The sequence below is a fragment of the Homo sapiens genome, chromosome 18 (assembly GCF_000001405.40).
Source record: "Homo sapiens chromosome 18, GRCh38.p14 Primary Assembly".
Taxonomy (NCBI): domain Eukaryota; kingdom Metazoa; phylum Chordata; class Mammalia; order Primates; family Hominidae; genus Homo; species Homo sapiens.
In genome coordinates this window covers 7,876,905-7,896,561 of record NC_000018.10, presented here as the reverse complement: position 1 = coordinate 7,896,561, position 19,657 = coordinate 7,876,905, and the positions used below count along the sequence as shown (strand labels likewise).

The 19,657-nt window shown below is 40.2% G+C and overlaps 1 protein-coding gene across 26 annotated transcripts in view; it reads right to left on the bottom strand.

The window, feature by feature from the left end:
- The window catches only part of PTPRM (protein tyrosine phosphatase receptor type M), an 839,541-nt gene that overhangs the window by 510,295 nt on the left and 309,589 nt on the right, over window positions 1-19,657 (bottom strand). For all 26 annotated transcript variants that reach the window (XM_011525708.3, XM_047437715.1, XM_011525712.3 and 23 more), the window contains exon 3: window positions 8,185-8,456. In XM_011525708.3, the coding sequence (XP_011524010.1) occupies window positions 8,185-8,456 (272 nt within the window). The remainder of the gene's footprint in view (window positions 1-8,184; window positions 8,457-19,657) is intronic.

Below are 19,657 nucleotides of genomic sequence, written 5' to 3'. Positions count from 1 at the left end.
TATGGAGACCCATGGGGGAAGGAGATTTTCAGCTACCTATGCATTGTTTCTCTTTTTAAAGCAACCATTTATATCAAAGATCACTGCCTCCCTGGCCTCTGACTGGGCTCAAAATCACTGTCTTCTGAAAGCAGAGAGGAAGGCTGAAATTCTGGGTAGGAGCTGAGGCTTCTGGGGTGCATGCATGATTAGAATATGACGAAATCTGTGGCTAGCTCCTTTGCCTCAGGGTGTAGGGGTGGGAAACAGGAGGCGGGGGTGCAGAATCAAAGCAGAGTTCTTTTTTTTTATCAGCACAATAAAGCAAAAGGGCGAGTACATGAGGAAAATATTATTCTTCAAATGGCAAAAAATCAATGTCTAAATCAAAGGAGGCAGGTGCCCTGAGGATGGCAGGTACCTGCCCTTCCCCACTGCTTCCCAACCATAGGAGGGCAGGTCAACACAGAAGCAATTAGGAAAAACATTAATTAAGGAATTAAATATGTGTTAATCACTAAATACTTGGCAATTTATGTTTTAAGGAACAGTAATTAACCTGCGATTAGCTGTATTCCATGCAGGTTACCATTGTGATGTGTACCTGTAGCATACTATTCTACCATAAATAGTAAAAACTACACAAAATGACTACTGTGGCAAGAACACTTTACTCTGCTAAGAAACTTTTCAAAATTCTATAAATGTCTAACAATGTCAATATTAAAGCTAGAGGAAAAAACTGTGAAAGTAAGAGATGCCCCAAAAGACCTATTATGGTTATCAAAAGTACACAGGACACTTGTGTCTAGATTGCCTGAAAACTTTGCCTAGTCCAACAATTGCAGAGTTCAGATGCTGATCAAGATGAAAATTAACTCAGTATTTTGTAGCCAAAGCGAAGTGAGAAATGGACGTTCTGGAAGAAGGCACAGAAGGTCATGGGAAATAGCCAACTGAAGAGCCCAACACAGCGGTCCCTGAATACAACCCAAGGGCACCTGGTCCTTGAGATGCAGTCAAACAAGTCCAGGGAAGGGAGAACTGCACGGACCCTCACAGAACCTCACCTTGCAGTGCTGTATGACAGCAGGTCTGGAATGTTCTGACAGAAGGGAACTTGGTTCACTTTGTCTCATGCAGTGTTCCACAAAAGGATTTGTTCCTGGAACCCTTTTTCATTTAACACCTTTTGACATTCCACTAAACACATTTAGGAAGCGCCTTAGCAGGGAGAAAGCATCAACTATTAACTGGTTCCCTCTTTTTACCATCTTCCACAAATCTTAACAGTGGCTCAACAAACTGCCACCGCTTCTTAAGAGGCTAGCATATCCCCAATGTGCTTTTCCTTTCATCTCCAACCCCTAATTACCCCTAATCACTACCCCCCACCCCGCTGTAATTAGGAAAGTGAGGCTCATAAAGTTTAAATCAGTTGCCCAAGCTTCTAAGTAAGCAGGGCTGATATTCAAATCCCATTCTTTGTAACACAAAGTGTATGTTCTTTTACTGTCCTCTGATGCTGCCCATGTGCAAACAATTTATAATATGAAATTCCTTTAAAAGAATTCATTAATCAATTTTCACTCATATCAAAACTACTTACTAGTGTGAAATTTGCTTATAGAAATAAAGTACTGCATGAAGTATTTTAACACATAAATATTTCAAGTATACATGAAACTTATATTAATATTTTAGAATTCTAGAATATATCCTGCAGCCTACGTAATAATTGTAGAGGTGGTGTCTAGAGGAAGCTGACTTCCTGTACCTTGAGAGAGGGCTTCTCAAAGGTGTCACCTCCTTTAGATGCCCATATCCTATTATCTTGTCTTCAGCTTTCAGGCCTAGAAACAGCCTGAGAATGCATCACTTGGATATTGAGTTTTATGCACCATGTTCACATAAGAAAATGTTACACACATGTATCCATGCACACATAATACTGGAAAAAAAATATTAAAAAATATATATATATATATATTTTTCCTGAGACGGAGTCTTGCTCTGCCCCCTAGGCTGGAGTGCAGTGGCGCAATCTCGGCTCACTGCAAGCTCTGCCTGCCAGGTTCACGCCATTCTCCTGCCTCAGCCTCCCGAGTAGCTGGGACTACAGGTGCCCGCCACCACGCCCGCTAATTTTTTGTGTTTTTTAGTAGAGACGGGGTTTCACCGTGTTAGCCAGGCTGGTCTCGATCTCCTGACCTCATGATCCGCCTGCCTCAGCCTCCCAAAGTGCTGGGATTACAGGCGTGAGCCACCATGCCTGGCTTGGAAAATATATTTTTTATATTTTGGAATCAGAAATATAATAGTCAAAAACCAGAGTCACATTTTCAGGCCAGTACAGAACTCCTTATAAAGAAATCTATATGGGAAATCATATCAAAAGCAGACGGGCTCTTGCATGACTTGTATTTCTGAGAGCATCAGACTACAACAGGCATCTCCTCGGTACACGTGTGCTGGCCCCATGGACTAGGGACTGGATCTGCAGCCCAAGGAAGCCCCTCCCCTGGCTCAACTTCAGAGCTTATTGTTTTTTTGTTTGTTTGTTTGTTTTGTTTTTTGTCCAGGCTTTTCTTCTGACCATCTCTAATTAGGCTGACACCTCAGGCCAGGGGTGAAAATTGGATTTGGTAGGTGTCTTCCTTTTACTTTGTATCTGTGAATACGGCCTGTCCTTCTTAACCCAACTGGGAAACCTCATTCAGGTCTTACATAGCGATTTTAAGGCCTGCAGTTCAGTGTCTGGGAAGTTTCCTGCTGACATTTCTCTTGCCGCATCTACAATGTGCCATTTACCTAATAGTTTATATTGCTATTAGGGCAATGATTTCAATTTGTTTACTGCCCAGCAGATAAAGGGGAAATAATAAGGAAGTGCTACCTTAACTCTGTCTTTAAAAGTTCCAAGGCCGATGCTTGCTGGAAGTGCTCAGGAATTAAACAAACAAGTGGGTTTTCAGTAGATCTATACTCTTTACAGATGTTCATCAGGAGTTGGTAGTAGCCCACCTGCATGAGGGCGGCCAGTGTTAACAATATTTTTGCTCTGATCTTCTTCTTCCCCATTTTTGTTTCCTCAAACAGGTTTTTAGGAGAGTGGAGATTTAAAGTCAGGATGTGGGCTTTTTATTTTCATTATATACTTAATTCTTAGAACAAGTAGAATGGGAAAGGAGTGACTGATAAATCTAAGATTCAAAATAGTCCTGTTGAAACTAAAAGGCCAGATTACTGCTTTGGAGCTTTCTGTAGGTACCTAGCCATCCAGTCGTTAAACGTTTTCATGGATATTTGAAAAGAAGACCATGTACTTGTAATAACTGTTCTTTTCTCAAGTTTCTGCCTTGTGCTTTGACCTGGATTGCATTATTATTGTTTATGCAAAGAAAAAAAAGGAAAGCACAAGCTTTTCCTGTATATTTCCATTTCCATTTTAAAATAAAAATTTTCCCAACAACAAAAAAATAAAAACTTAGCAACACTGTATTAAAGAATCTCTACAAATCCATCTTTAAATTCAAAGTATGAAGCTATTCCTAATGAATCTATCAGTGCTATGAACTGAATGTTTGTGTACTCCCCAAGTTCACGCTGAAACCCTAATCCCAAAAATGGTGGTATTAGGAGGTGGGCCTTGGGGAGGCGATGGGGTGACGAGGGGACAGCCCTCATGATGGGAGTAGACCTTCATAAGAAGAGAGGCGTGAGAGCTCTTGCTTCCCTGACCTCCCCCTAACTGTGTGAGGACACAGAAAGAAGATGACCATCTGCAAACCAGGAAGAGAACTTTCACCAGAATCGGACGATGCTGGCACCCTGATCTTGGACTTCTCAAACTAGAAATGTGAGAAATATTGTCTGTTGTTTAAGCCGTACAGTCCTGTGGTATTTTGTTACTGCAGCACAGCAGACTAAGATATCAATGAAGCAATACATTCAAAAATGAACCAAAAAGCTATGAGAAAAAACTTCTAACTTAATTTGGCAAATCATTTACTGCTCAGTAAAGTGTGAGTGATGACAGTGAAAAGTGAGAGGGCTTAAAGGTTAGGAGCAGAAAAGTTCACAATTGGGAAGGTGAAATATGTTATCCAAAGGTGCTCAAGATAAGTAAGAATTCACTGAAAATGACAATGGCCTGAAATATATGGGACCATCTTACTCTCAATGTAGTTTAACAGTTCCTTTTTAAAGTCTGGTCTTCCAAGACTGTTCATAAACCGCATCATTCCTTTAATGCAGCTGACTGAGGTAGGGACATAAAAGGCAAAACAGAAATTCCACGTCTGACTGCAGCCAAGGCCACGCTAAACCAGCACACTGTGGCTCTGGAGGCTGTGATGGTCTCAAGAAAGCCCATTCTAGAGGTTTTGTGTGGACACTGCTAAGGCCCAAGAGAAGAAACTCAGGGAAAACATGAGCAGGACATACCTTCTGATATCAACTAGGAGTGCTGTCCACTGGCCTCAATCCAGCAGACAACTGGAGACTGAGGAAGAACCTAGAATAGGTCCCAGAGGGGCAGTGGGAACATTCCAGATCCCTGTCTTCCCTACTTTGGGAAAGGCTCCTCCAAAAGAAGGTTTTTAATCACATTCAGCTTCTCAGCCTAGGCCACCATACAAAAACCTCTGGAGGCCTAGCTTGGCCAAACCCAGTTCTACTGATTGCCTTTCTTTTTTTTTCCTTTTTTGAGACAGGGTCTCGTTCTGTCTCCCAGGCTGGAGTGCAGTGGCACAATGTCAGCTCACTGCAAACTCCGCCTCCCTGGTTGAAGGGATTCTTGTGCCTCAGCCTCCCAAGTGGCTGGGACTACGGGCACGCACCACCATGCCCAGCTAATTTTTGTATTTTTAGTAAAGATGGGGTTTCACCATGTTGACCAGGCTGGTCCTGAACTCGTGACCTCAAGCAATCCACCTGCCTACCTGCCTCAGCCTCCCAAAGTGCTAGGACTAAAGGCACGAGCCATTGCGCCCGGCCACCCACTTGCTTTTTAACCCTATGAAACGCATTTCCTAAGTTTTGTCCCAGAGGCCATATGCTTTAAACTACTGATTGGTCACCAGTACATTTATATAAAAAGCATGTGTTTATTAAAAAGATATTTTCCTTCTGGAGGAAAAACAAATTTTTACTTTTTGTTTTATAAATAAAAACAGTACATGTACGTTGGGGAAAACTGAGAATATAACAGATGGCCAAAAAAAAAAAATTTACCTGTTATCCCACTAGCTAGAGAGATTCTGCTTTCTTTTTTCCTTATTTTTATTTTTTTTCTTGAGGCAAGGTCTCACTCTGTCACCCAGGCTGGAGTGCAGTGGCATGACCACGGCTCACTGAAGCCTCGACCTCCCAGGCTCAAGCGATCTTCCAGCCTCAGCCTCCTGAGTAGCTGCAACTACAGGCACACGCCACCATGTCCTGCTAATTTTGTTGTTTTTTTTTTTTTTTGGAGACACTGGATTTCGCCATGTTGCCCAGGCTGGTCTTAAACTCCTGGACCCAGGTGATCCTCCCACCTCGGCCTCCCAAAGTGCTGGGATTACAGGCTTGAGCCGCTGTGCCCTGCCAAGATACCACTTTCTTAAGTATTTATTTCAGGATATATTTCAGTCTTTATTAGATTTTTTAAACTTAAAAATAGAATTTAATGTATTGCTTTATACCTGTTTAATCCATTTAACAACATAACCTTAAATGTATCATTAAATTTTCTTCCATAACATTATTCTTAATGGCTGCAAAATAAATTTTTGTATTGAGGTAGCATAAATTAACAAATCCTCTATTGTTGGAAAAATACTGTTTCTGATTTTTCTTTACTATAAATAAGCTGCTATGAATATCCCAGTAGTTAATTATTTGCAATCACTCTTCATTACTTCTTTAGGATAAATTCCTAATAGTGGACTGCTAGATTTAAGCATATCTAAATTTTTTAACAATTTTAAAACTTACTGCCAAAGTACATACTCTAAAAAGATCTTAACAATTTACACGTGTACTCACAGAGCTTTCCCTATGTCTTCATTTCCATTAAAAAAAAACAACACATTTACTTGTCACTCATTAAATCCTAGAAATTGTTGTAGGTATATGCCTACAAAGATAAATTAAGCAAGAAATTTACAGCCCATTTATTCATCAGTCCAGGGAGAGAGAAATTGGGGTTGATGGATCTTAACTCATAAACACCAAAGCTGCAGAATGGATTACTGGATGCTGTTCACGCCCATTTTGAAGACAAGCAGCCCTGGAAAGCCCTAGCTTTCCCTTCCCTATGTCTAGCCAAGCACCTCAATTAAACATGAAAAATGATCTTAGATGCATGTTCCAGCTGGCTCCTGTCTGAGCCAAAGGAATTAAAGAAAGAGAAAAGCAAAATATTGCAATCCTCTTTATTCCTCCTCGTAGTTGGCCATTAATTGAGTATTTTCAATACTGTTATTTTTAAAAGATGCTGTGGACAAAAAAGAAAAAGCTCTCCAAATGCCCATTGTCACTAATTTCCCACTTTGATCCTAAGTTAGGATGCTCTTGTGTCACAGGAATCCCCCACAGAAGGGCAGACAGGACGTGACGTCAGAACTGCTTTGGTACCACTTCTGAATGTCCATGGGCCTCCGCCCTTCAGTTACTTTAAACAGGAACTCAAAGCAGTTACTGCAGGTCTCCACAGAGCCCCCAAAATAACAGGACAGGTCTTGTGGCAGTGCCTCTGTGACAAGGACTCCATCTACATCTGGTACTTTCTTCCTGTTGCTTACATGGGTAGAAGCAGGGACCTGCCCCTCACTGGCTCGTCTCCACAGGGCTCATCTCATTTACTCCTGAGACCCATTTGCAGAGGGTGTCTTCTTTTAGACTCAGGTGCTATGCCTTTCTGCGTCACATATGGCCTACTTAATATAGAAACTAAAATATCCAGCTGGGCACAATGGCTCATGCCTGTAATTCTAGCACTCTGGGAGGCTAGGGTGGCAGGATCACCTGCGACCAGAAGTTTGAGACCAGCCTGGGCAACATAGCAAGGCCCTGTCTCTACAAAAAAAATATAAAAAATTAGCCCGACAGGTGGCATATGTCTATAGTTCCAGCTACTTGGGAGGCTGAGGTGGGAGAATCACTTGAGCCCAGGAGTTTGAGGCTGGAGTGAATTGTGATCACAACACTGTACTCCAGCCCGGGTGATGGAACGAGTCCCAGTCTCAAAAAAAAAAAAAAAAAAAAAGAAAGAAAAGAAAATATATTTGCAAACCCCGTACATAGCATTTCTTGCCCTCCTACAAGTGACTGCTTTTATTTTCTTAAAACAATACATGCCAGGCATAAACAAATTTTGAATTGTATTTTTTACTAATTTGACAAAGCCTTAAGACACTCCTTATCAAATAGCATAGGTTTTTCTTGCACTGTTATAAAAATTTATTTATTTATTTATTCATTTATTTAAATTGCAGATTCAGGAGGAACAGGTGCAGGTTTGTTACCTGGGTAAACTGCATGATTCTGAGGTTTGGAGGTATGATTAATCCCGTCACCCAGGTAGTGAGCACAGCACCCAAAAGTTAGTTTTTCCACCCTTGCTCCCCTCCTTTTTGTATTCTCTAGTGTCTACTATTCCCATCTTTATGTCCATGTGCACCCAGTGCTTAGCTCCTACTTATAAGTAAAAACATGCAGCATTTGGTTTTCTGTTTTTGCATTAATTCGCTTGGGATAATGGCTTCCAGTTGCTGCTAAAGACATGATTTCATTCTTTTTTATGGCTGCACACTATTCCATGGTGTGTATGTACCATGTTTTTTTTAATCCAGTCCACCACTGATGGACACCTAGGTGGATTCCATGTCTTTGCTATTATGAATTGTGCTGTGATAAACATTCTACCAAAAAAACACCTGAACTCATGTAATTGATTTTCCTTTGGTTATATACCCAGTAATGGGATTGCTGGGTTGAACAGTAAGTCTCTGTTCAGTTCTTTGAGAAGTATCCAAGCTGCTTTACAAAGGGGCTGAACTAATTTACAATCCCACCAACAGTATAGGATGAGAGTTCCCCTTTCTCCACAACCTTGCCAACAAAAATACAACAACCTTTTCTGATTATAATGATATAACAATAATTTATATTTTTAGAAATTAGAGGATGCTTCAAAATATGTAATAAAAAGAAAGCACATACCTGATAAAAGTTAGGCCAGAAAGTACTAATGGCCAGTTCTGCCCTGTTCCATGTACGTGTTGGGTCTCCAGATATATTCCAGATAGGATTCCCCAGTGGCCCGTTATTGACCTTCACGTAGACATTGAGTAACCCCGGAGGAGAATTACTCTTGCTGGACACAAAATAGTGAAAATCGATGCAGTGGGTGTCATTTTCTTTAAGTTGGGGTAAGAGCAGGTGGGCTCTCTGCCCCTCAGGTCTCCCAGAGGCATTCACCAGCATGAAAGAACCTGCAAAAACAAAATCAAGGAGAGTCATACCCTGAAACACTACTTTCTGGTTATCTCTGAAAACCCACCACCATTTACATGGGTTGGCACTGCAATTCCATGTCTTACTTAGGCTTAAACTGCCATTTCTTCCATTCCTATTTCATATATCACCACCTCCTCCTCCTATCATCCCCCTATATGTTCTCAAGAGTGCACATAGTATTAATGGAAAATTCCCTGGATGTTACTGTAATTTGACTTCTAAATAACAGAAATGTAGCATAATGTTTGTAGACTCGCCTTAGGTCTAGCAGTCAGGAGTCACAGGTGATTATTTAAAATAAAAATTAAAATTCCATATTTAAAATGCGTGTCCTCATTCACACCAACTGTGTTTCAAGTGCTCAATAGCCACGTGTGACAAGTAGCTACCACACTGGGCAGCACAGATACAGAGCATCTCCATCCAGCAGAAAGTTCTACTGAACAGCACTGTCCCATCATGTTAGCAATACTCAGTAATCACTCTGTATAACCTAGAGAAAGACAAAAGATTGGGTGGGCTGTGCATCTTAGGGTCATGATATTGGCCCCATCTGTTCCCTGCTGTCAATGTAATACGATCCTCTTGCACTTCAGCACCAGTACCCCACCTCCATCACTGGAACAACTGACTTCTCCTTGACAGTGGAGGTGTTCTCACAACAAGGTGATGACTTAGGCAATCATTGTCCCAACTGAAGGACGATCATTCTAAGAAGTCTCACGAGCTCTTTGGATCTTGACCCCAATGGCCCTAACCTACCCATGAGTGTTGAGGAGCTTCCAGATGGATTCAAGCTTTCCAGATACCAAGCACTTGAGCCTTCCCCATATGAATTTTATATTTCACACAGTAAAAGATAAAAGCAAAATGTTCTAAGATACAAGGGAAAATAGGCTATCATAGGTCGGCTTTAGCACAGAGAAAAAATGCGTTGAAATTCTAAGGAGCAAGTACACCTGAACTTGGAGTATAAAAATGAAAAAAATAAAAATACTACACAGATGGGTACCCTCATTGTGAATCACAATGTTCAAGGTGTGTATATATGTTAATATGTGTTTATTGTCTACCCACACATTATCAGTAAACACACACATACACGGTACTAGAAAATGTATGGAATTTCTGTCTTGTTTACATGCTGTGATTGCCTAAACAGCAAAACAAGAAGACCACTTTTTTATAGTAATTCCCAAAGAATGACTGTAAGTATCAAATGAAAAATACAGATGTAGATATCCTTCACCGATTAAGAGGTTGTTGTTAAAGGATCTATATTATCATATGCTTTCTTATGGTTGCTACCTTTACAGCTATGAGGTGAGCCAGGTTTAACACCATTTATGATAAACAGGAATGGGGTCACAGAGAGATTAGAAGCAGCTTATCTAGGTTTTAGGATGAGTTAGTGGCAAAACCAGAACTTTGAGCTTCTGAGTTTCCAGCCCATTACTCATTATGCCACACTCCAGTAACCCCATGTTTCTTCATGTGCTTTTTGAACACATATGAAAAAAATACCCTTTCACAGCAGTGAAGGGAAATTATAGTAGCTATTTTAAAACAGAGCAATTTTTCAAGCAATGAATGTTATGTACCTAGAAATACAAAAGCCAAGTCACAAGCGAACCTATCTGTGAAATATAACTTACCTATGAAATATATTTCAGCATTAAGGAAGAACTTTAACTGTCATTTAAGAAAGAGGGGCAGAGAAAGAACAAGTGACGAGAGTATCATTGAAATAATTCAGGTTAGTTACTGTTTACAAATGTAAAAAATCTTCAAAACATGCAGGGTTGATGAACCCCATCATAAATCCAGAGTAGGACGTTCCTGTGTATGAGTTACAGATTGTGTTTTCCTGCTCTTAGTGAAATAGAAGCTGATTTACGCCAGATTCTATCACTGGGGGCTCTGTTATCTACAACAGTTACCACATATATCCTTACTGGTGGAGCTGAGGCATGACATGTTCTTGAGGTCACGTCTGAATGAACAAAACCTGGAGTATGGCCATATTGCCAAGAATATTGTATCTCTCATTGTTCCCATCACTTAAGCTTGGGCAAGCATGGGTGGAAAGCACGGCAATATACACAGGACGGCAAAATAAGTGTTGCCCACATCCTGTGAAGCACTCAGAGGGGCCTCCTTTCACATATTTACATAAACTGGGTACCTTTCTACCATTACTGTTAAGGAAATCACCCAGTTTTCCAAAACTGTTATTTTACTAGCTACACAGCCTGCCTCCAATGCTAAATCCACTCTGCTCCATTCCAGCATGAAATGCTCTTACACTCTTGTGTCTAAAGTACACAAGAATTTTTATGTTGAGATCCAGGTGAAATTCAGGTATAATCTAAGTTACTCAAGTGATCCTAGCTTTTATAGTCTTTTCTCCTCCTTTTTTCCCTGTTTGACTAAGAATAGTCTATTTTGCTTTGAGGCATGCTTCTGTAGTGCAGATTAACTCATAGAGGATTACTAGACAGGGGAGTGACATCCCTATTACACACAAGTCCTCTTGGTTTATGTGCAATTTTTTGCAGGACATTCATGTTGTGAAGTGATGAGGGGCAACTGTCCTCTCAAATAAAGGGAAAGCTTTATCAGTGCATGATGTCTTTTAAACAAAGCTGAAGATCCTACAGAAGTGGATCTTTCCTCAATGCAAGGAGTGGCAAGAAGGGGGGTTTGGTGGTTTCATTCCTCTTTCCACTCCTAAGCTGTCTCTGAAACTGTAAGAACGGGTGAAGAACTGTGAAGCCTCTGCCCCCTTCCTCTGTGTTTAAAAAGGACAAAAAAAAGAAAAGGACTGATGAAGAAGACAAACCTCAGATGATATTTTTACGTTCACAGCAAGTAGTCTCTATTAGAAGAGAATGACTTCGAGGACTTCTATGGAGAGTGGGAAGAAGTGGAGGCCTTGGGTTCAGGGTCTGGGGTTCAGGGCCAAGGATGGTCTCATGGGGTCTGTGCCAGAGTGGAGTTCAGAGAGCCAGCACTTTTATTAGTTTTGTCAATGTTTTTGTTCACTTGCCAGCTACAAAGCTGCATAGATTTGGAAGGGTCAGCCCCAACCCTGTTCTTCTCACAAGATCTGCTATTTTCTCTCTCTCCTTTTTTTTTTTTTTTTTTTTTTTTTTTGAGATGGAGCTTTGCTCTCGTCGCCCAGGCTGGAGTGCAATGGCGTGATCTCAGCTCACTGCAACCTCTGCCTCCTGGGTTCAAGCGATTCTCCTGCCTCAGCCTCCTGAGTAGCTGGGATTACAGGTGCCTGCCACCATCCCTGGCTAATTTTTTGTATTTTTAGTAGAGACAAGGTTTCACCATGTTGGTCAGGCTGGTCTTGAACTCCTGACCTCAGGTAATCCACCCACCTCGGCCTCCCAAAGTGCTGGGATTACAGGCAAGAGCCACCGCACCTGGCCTAAGATCTGCTATTTTCAGCATGTGATTTTGTGAAATTCATGAGAGGCTTCTCAAGTGCAGGGGCAGGGCTTTGGTGGAAATGCAGACTCTATGCACAGTCTTCCTCTGGCAGGGGTTCAGGTCCTTGGGAGGCAATTCTGTCTGGACTGCCCCCATGGTCACTAGCACAGCTAGTCTCTCCCAACTGATCTGGAAATCAATTAAGCAGCACTCAGATTTCAACACTCATGATCTTTTAGAGGAAAAGTCTCTGCCAAGCACCTTCCCCTGCGGTACACTCCTCTGTGAGATTCCCTTTTTCCCTTCCTCTACAGTCTCCCAATTGGTGTATCTATGCAGCCTCATAATTAACCACGAATGCATACAAGGCAAGCGGGACAAAGCCTGCCACAAAACACAAGCCCAGCAAATGCTCCTGACTTTCATTATGATGACTTTAGCTCCACAACCCTCCTAAATGTATGGCTTTTTAAAATTATGTGGCTCTTTTTTAGAGACAGGGTCTCACTCTGTCCCCCAGGCTGGAGTGCAGTGGCAGAGTCACGGCTCATAGCAGCCTCGACCTCCTGGGCTCAAGTGATCCTCCCATTTCAGCCTCCCGAGTAGCTGGGATCATAGGTGTGCATCACCACACCCTGCTAATTTTTTTTATTTTTTATTTTGTAGAGAGAGGGTCTTACTATGTTGCCCAGGCTGGTCTCTAACTCCAAGATTAAAGCAATCTTCCTGCCTCACCCTCCCAAATGTTAGGATTACAGGTGTGAGCCACTGTGCCCAGCTGGAATTCTTTACCATTTATCTCTATTTCCCCCTGTTCACCTCACAACTCTCCTGGTCCTACTATAATTCACCTAAGTGGTAATTTTTAAGTTTCCTTTCTTTACGAGAGAAGAACATTAGTACTGAGATAACACAAAACCTTCAACTCAATTAATCTTCCCCTTACGTTTTTGGGGAAAGGGTATCTTTATTTCAGTGTGTGGCCATCAGGACTTAACTCACAGCTTTAAAGTACAAAAGGTGACGTTTCTATCCACACTCGTGTTTCCTGACAGTGGTGTACTATTATGTGCCAATGAGTTTACAGAAGCAAATATGAAAGTCTAGCAACCTGCAGTAAAGTTACAGTTGGCAGGAGGGAGAGAAGTGTTGCTTCTTAGTTCGTTTTTATCACCTATCTGCTATGAAGGTATAAAGTCAACTCACCAACCAATGTTTAGAGAATTACAGAATTCAAAGCATTTATATTCAATTTTAGACTATTAAGTCTGTTTTTTAAACTATCCCTATATGGCTGAATGTTTAATTTTCACCTTCTACTTAAATGTTTTGACTGCGAGGTAATGCATTTTCAAAGAGTAATTGGGTCTCCCTCTGTAGTTACTTCCTTACAATTCTTTCCTCCTACAAAAAGCATTCCAGCTCGGTAAATTTTTAAAAAATCATAATTCAAATTAGCATAGAAATTCCGTTTGTGTTCAGATAACAAAACACCCTTAAGTCACTAGTATATAAGTAGAAAATATACCATTGCAGGCAAATGAAATGAGCTCTGCATGATGGAGTCAGCTTCAAAAAGGGACAGCCTTTAGATGCAGACTTAGAAGCTTCTTAAGAATAATTATTTTGGTTTCCCCAAAAAGGAAAACTCTTTGATAAGAACATGCAATGTTCACATTCTCAAATCTCTGGGTGAATTAAATTTAGCCAATCATATCCACTGGCAAAGGCTTTTGATTAAACTATCTTCCATCATTGTTTGTGACAGCAGTAATAACTGCACAGAATTATTCCTTTCTAACCCATCATTAAAATTTGCATTGGTGTGTTTGGAGCTCTAGATTTGTCAAGGCTGAGAAAACTACATGAATTCTCTTCCAAGTGTATTTGAGAAACTTTGCAAACAACAACAACAAAAGAATATTTTCCATTATCCAGCAGGAAGAAAGAGTTACATGGCTTCTTCAATACTTTGGCTTACAGAGAAGCAGCATTTTATGAACTTTAAAGCTATTATAAAATTCACTTTTTAAACTTCTTAATTTTAGCAAAAGCCACAGATTATTGGTCTTTGCCTCCCTTTGGCTGTTTTGCCTTTTTCTTGTATGACCATGCCTTTAAATTTGTGGATTTAGAATACGAGAGGCAAACAAAATGTTAACAAGTTCCATCACTGCAGGCATATCTCCTGACTCTAGTTTATGGGGTTATTTGTGCTTCATCTGACCTATGCAGATACAACCAGTTAGAACAATTCAGTTCACTAGAGCAGCACTTCTCAAACAACCTGTAATGAAAAACCAGTTGTTGTTGTTTTTTTAAAAAAAAAAGTCCAGTGCATCTCAGACCAATTTATATAAAATACAATAAACATGAATTGCTAGAAAAATGAAATTGTTTAGTCACACAACATGGTAGCCCCAGATTTGTTATTATTCGATGAAATAAAATTATTCTGTCCAATTCCTATAAAAATTTTCTAAAGACTTGCTCTCAGTTTCTGTACTGGTCAGGGACCAGAAACAATGAGTGGGCCAGCTCTGATCTGCCGACCATACTGAGTAGCATAGGCTTAAAGTTATAGCAAAGAGTAAACAATATAGCATCCTTGGTACCCAAATATACATTTTTCCTCAACAGCAGATGAGGAAAATTGAAAGAAAAGAATGAAAAAAAGAAAAATCTGCTTTCTTAACCCAAAGGTAAGTTATAAAAGCCAACCCCTTTGACTACGAAAGAACGTTGCAGAAGAAAATGAAGAGGGAAAGTGGGAAGCAAGTGGACACACATGGTCATGGTGAATGGAAAGGCTGCACCCAGGCTCTGAATATAGAAAAGACCCGGCTTCAAGGAAAGGAGAAAATAAAGGGTGCCAATAGGCCACGGCACATGGAATCACCACGTACATCTGCATGTCTTAAGGAGAAGGGAAGAGGGTACGGGAACAAAATGGGCCACCAGTGCCTAAGCCAGGTGCTCCATGAACTTGATCTAATTAAATCCTCACAACAATGAAGCTCTGAAGAAAGAGAGAGCAGGGTGAACCCACTAGAGGACAAGTGAAAGCATCGGATAGGGCCAAGGGGAATGCAAAGTTTTTACCTTCAAACTGCAAAGGCAGTGCTCCTAAGACTAATATTTTTCAAACATTTTGACTAACTCAGTACGAAATAATAGGTTGTACTTCCCCCGCTGCCCTACTCCAAGACGGAGTTTTGCTCTTGTTGCCCAGGTGGGAATGCAATGGCACAAACTCGGCTCACTGCAACCTCTGCCTCCTGGGTTCAAGTGATTCTCATGCCTCAGCCTCCTGAGTAGCTGGGTTTACAAGCACGCACCACTGTGTCCAGCTAATTTTTGTATTTTTAGTAGAGACGGGGTTTCACCATGTTGGCCAGGCTGGTCTCAAACTCCTGACCTCAGGTGATCCACTTGCCTCAGCCTCCCAAGTGCTGTGATTACAGATGTGAGCCACTGTGCCACGCCAATATATTGTTCTTTACATTTCAGCATACATGTGTAAAGCGACATGTCTCTATATACATTTACCTACACACACACATACCCAGGCTTTCATTAAAAAAAAGTGTACCACTACGCTTCTAACCATGTGTATATATGTACTGCATGTACATTTTCTATTCTAACTCAATTGCATTTTGCAAAATCAAATCAATTCTGGCTGCAACCTACAACTGACATCAGAGCCCACAAATGCTTTAAGACCATAATGCAACTCCTCCCAATAATCAAAACCACTGTGCTCTGCTTCCTAAGAAAGCTTTTCATTTTTAATTTGTCCTTTACACTTTGATCTCATCCCCTGATTATCATAATACCAGGTTACACCCCTCCTCCAACTCCCTCAGTCAGTACTGACACAGCTCCTAAAGAATATGTCTCCAGAAATTTCCTGAAATAGGGAAGAGGAAGGCCTGTGGAGAAATAAATGAACTACGGGAGCAAAGCTCAAAGGGAACAAAGCCTCTGCAGGGAGGTGCCACCATCGCCCTAAAAATGTTTATTAGCACCCATTTCAGTCTGATGAAACCACAGTCTCCAAGCTGCATTCACATTCTGCAGACCAGATATCATATATCCCTCCTAAGCTACTGCCTCTTCTATGCCCTTCCTACAAACATAAAATACTTATTTCTCAGCCACTAGGGAATAAGACATGAATAACAAAAATTCTCTCTTCTCCCAAATGACACATTTTCTTTCCGTTTGCCCTGTCTCTTCTTGCCTTCCTTGTGGATTCCCAACAACTACTGAAAAAGACCATTTGTTAGTTGTATTAATTTTTGCCCCATTCATGACATGCTGGTGAAAACACAGTAAGATAGCAAAAAGAAGTAATACTGTATCACAGGGAAGCTGAAGTAAAACTCTCTAACCAACTGCACATCCCTTTACTCTCTGATATGGCTTGGCTGTGTCCCCACCCAAATTACATCTTGAATTGTAGTTCCTATAATCCCCACATGTCGTGGGAGGGTCCCAGTGGGAGTTAATTGAATCATGGGGGTGGTTACCCTCATGTTGTCCTCATGATAGTGAGTGAGTTCTCATGAAATCTGATGGTTTTATAAGGGGCTTTCCCCCCTCTGCTTGGCACTTCTCTCTCCTGCCACCATGTGAAGAAGGATGTGTTTGCTCCACCTTCTGCCAGGATTCTAAGTTTCCTGAGTCCTTCCCAGTCACGCGGAACAGTGAGTCAATTAAACCTCTTTCCTTTAAATACCGAGCCTCAGGTGTTTCTTCATAGCAGTGTGAGAATGGACTAATACACTCCCTCACCAGGGACAGCAGCTGATGGGATCATCCTGGCATGGATCATTCTACAAATCATGCCATTTAGTTCACGTTACTCTGTTCTACTTGAGAGAATTCCACATGAATCTAGGTGCTACAAAATTAATAAGCACAGCTCATATACCTCAGATGTGCTTATAACCTTTGCTTTAAGACATTTATATTAAATACCAAAAAGATATTCAATTGTCAATTTAGTGATTCACAGCACAACTGAACGGCCATTTTTATTATTCATAAAAATATTGAGCTGAAGAAAAATATATTATTTCACCTTAACTAGTCACTTTTAGCCATGGCAGGATTCATCTGAGCACCCATTATGTATTGGGGCACTTTGAGAACTACAAACGAGACAAACTTGGACCTATTCCTGCAGCAAGAACTTCACAGTTTAGTTGTATATCATATTTTAAGTTGTTTTCACTGAGCACAGAAAGAATAAAAAGAGATTCACAGAATTAGCAAATCAGATCATTAAGTTCACCAACAGTTACATAAGTAACAACCAGAAGTGGCTGTAAACTTTATGGATTTAGGACCATCAATCTTAAAAGGGACTTGTGAAACACAGTTATCATAAGAGACAAAGCAGTATTGGAAGAGGCTCACTGCAGAGAGGAAACCCGGTGGGTTCTGTAGTAACAAGCAATGTGCTCTCCTTTTATAAGAAAAGGGAAGCTTTAATGAGAACTAAATTGTATTACAGTGTGTCATTTAGACAAACTGCTTCAGTGACTTAGGTAGAAAATACTAGGTGTGAGCTTTGTAATTTATAAGTAAAAAACAAACACTGAGTAAAGCAAACACAACCTTTTAACTATCTGATGACGCTAATGACTGTATCTCAGGAAATGAGCCACACATACAACAATTGAGTAGTGACAGGTTGACTATTTAGAACGTTCTAAAGAGACTGTTTAATTTCCCATACGTCAAGTTTTTCATTGATTGACATCTTTAGAAACGGGTTAGTTTCTGTTGTAAATCTCAGAATGACATAAGCCATCACAATATAAGCTTCCATTTATTTTTCCCCTAAATTAGTGTTGATTCAGAAACCTTTTTTTTCCACATGTGAAAAAAAAGCCTATGCTACTCAGTATGGTCTGCAGATCAGAGCTATCTGGTGATAGTCTACCAGCTAAACTATGACTTGCCTTAAGAAGAAATTGTGCAGTTAGCTTTTACATAAAATGCAGGCCAAACTTAAATATTTTAAAGGTCTGTCTTTGACACATTCAAACACTTGCTAGTGGTACTCAGAAGAAGCTTGCTAAATCATCCTTTGTCCTAAAAAACAGTTCAAAAGACTCCAAGGGTTCTGTTGACATCCCTGATTGACAGCTCCCCACATTCCTGAAGAAGAAGCCAAAGGATGTTTCATTAGCCCAACTAGGGTCAGAAACCAGAGTCATGCAGGAATTTTCACTGCTTGATCAGAAGGCAGAAAGAAGGAATGGTCAAAATTTAACAAGGTGAGTCAGTGGAGAAAATGAAACGGTGTCCACATTAAACTAACAACACAGTATCAAGTTTATAAATTATCAAAAGTCTGGAATTTAAGTAATCTGTTGGATTAATTAACCAGAAAAAGCATCAAAATACCAATAAATAATTAGCAAATAATATGAAAAAGCAATCTGCATTAGCAGAAATACAATTAGAATGGAGATGTCTGGGAAAATAGTTATCTTACCACTAAACCAAGAAATTTAAATTAAAGCAAATGCTGGGTATAATTTTAACATGGATAAATTTCTTAATTACATAAACATTTCAACACTATATGCTTGTGAGGTTCTGGTGAAGCTCCTGCAAGGGTTCAGGAAAGAAAGAAGCAGGGGATTTTATCACACACAGCATCCCAACAGCAGAGGCCACAGAGAGAGTCACACTCCTTGCCAAGAGCAGGCTGGTAGATAAATCTCACCTTACAAAACTTGCTAGTTCTGTGACCTTATGAAAATCACTCTCAATCTGAGTCAGTTCGTCCATAAACTCAAAAACAAACAGTGCCTACTGTGAAAGAATTGGACTAAAGCAAGCAAAGTACTCTGGACTGTGCTGGGCAGGACCTGAGGAGGGCTCCCTGAGCTTGGTAGGAAAAGCTAAGCTCTGTAGCCAAACAACCTGAATTAGGATCTTGACTCAGTCACACCTTGTATGTCCTTGAGTAAGTGAACTAACTCTCTTTTGCAAGTTTCCTAATCAAAGAGGTGGTTGAATAAATTAAATAAGGTAAATCACGTAAAATACTTCTTAAAAGGGTGACTGGCATAGAATAGATATATGTCAAAATTCAACCTTGGTCCCAGTTTTTATCCAAATGTATTTGAACTTAGCCTAGAAGACAAGATAACAGAGTTCTTACTTCAAGGAAATTTCTTACACCCATAAAATTTATGTGTATCAATGATCATGCGATTACACAGGTTACCAACATCCATCTTTAAATCAGCATAACAAGGTCAGTAATACAAACTAGGCATGGCACTTGAATTTATCTTCAATATCTAAACATGAATTTTCAAATATAAATAATCATTCTAGGTGCAACGTGGAGTGAAAAATCTCCTAGTGTGATTTAAATGCTTAGATGCTACCAAGTCTGTTAAATTATAAATACATATATTTAATTATAAGAGCAAAAGGATACAATAATTAATGGTGATTATGAAAGCTGCTAATTATACTTATAAAACCAATTATTAAAAACTTTCAAATCATTAAATATATATCTATATTAACAATTAATATGGGAATTGATAATAGCTAACACTTACATGATATTTAATACGTGCTGAGCACTCTTCCAAATGTTTTACATATATTAACTCTTTTACTCATTACAGACAAGGACAGAACTCAGGCATAGAGGGGTTAAGTAGCTTGCTCAAGATCATGTAGGTTGTAAGTG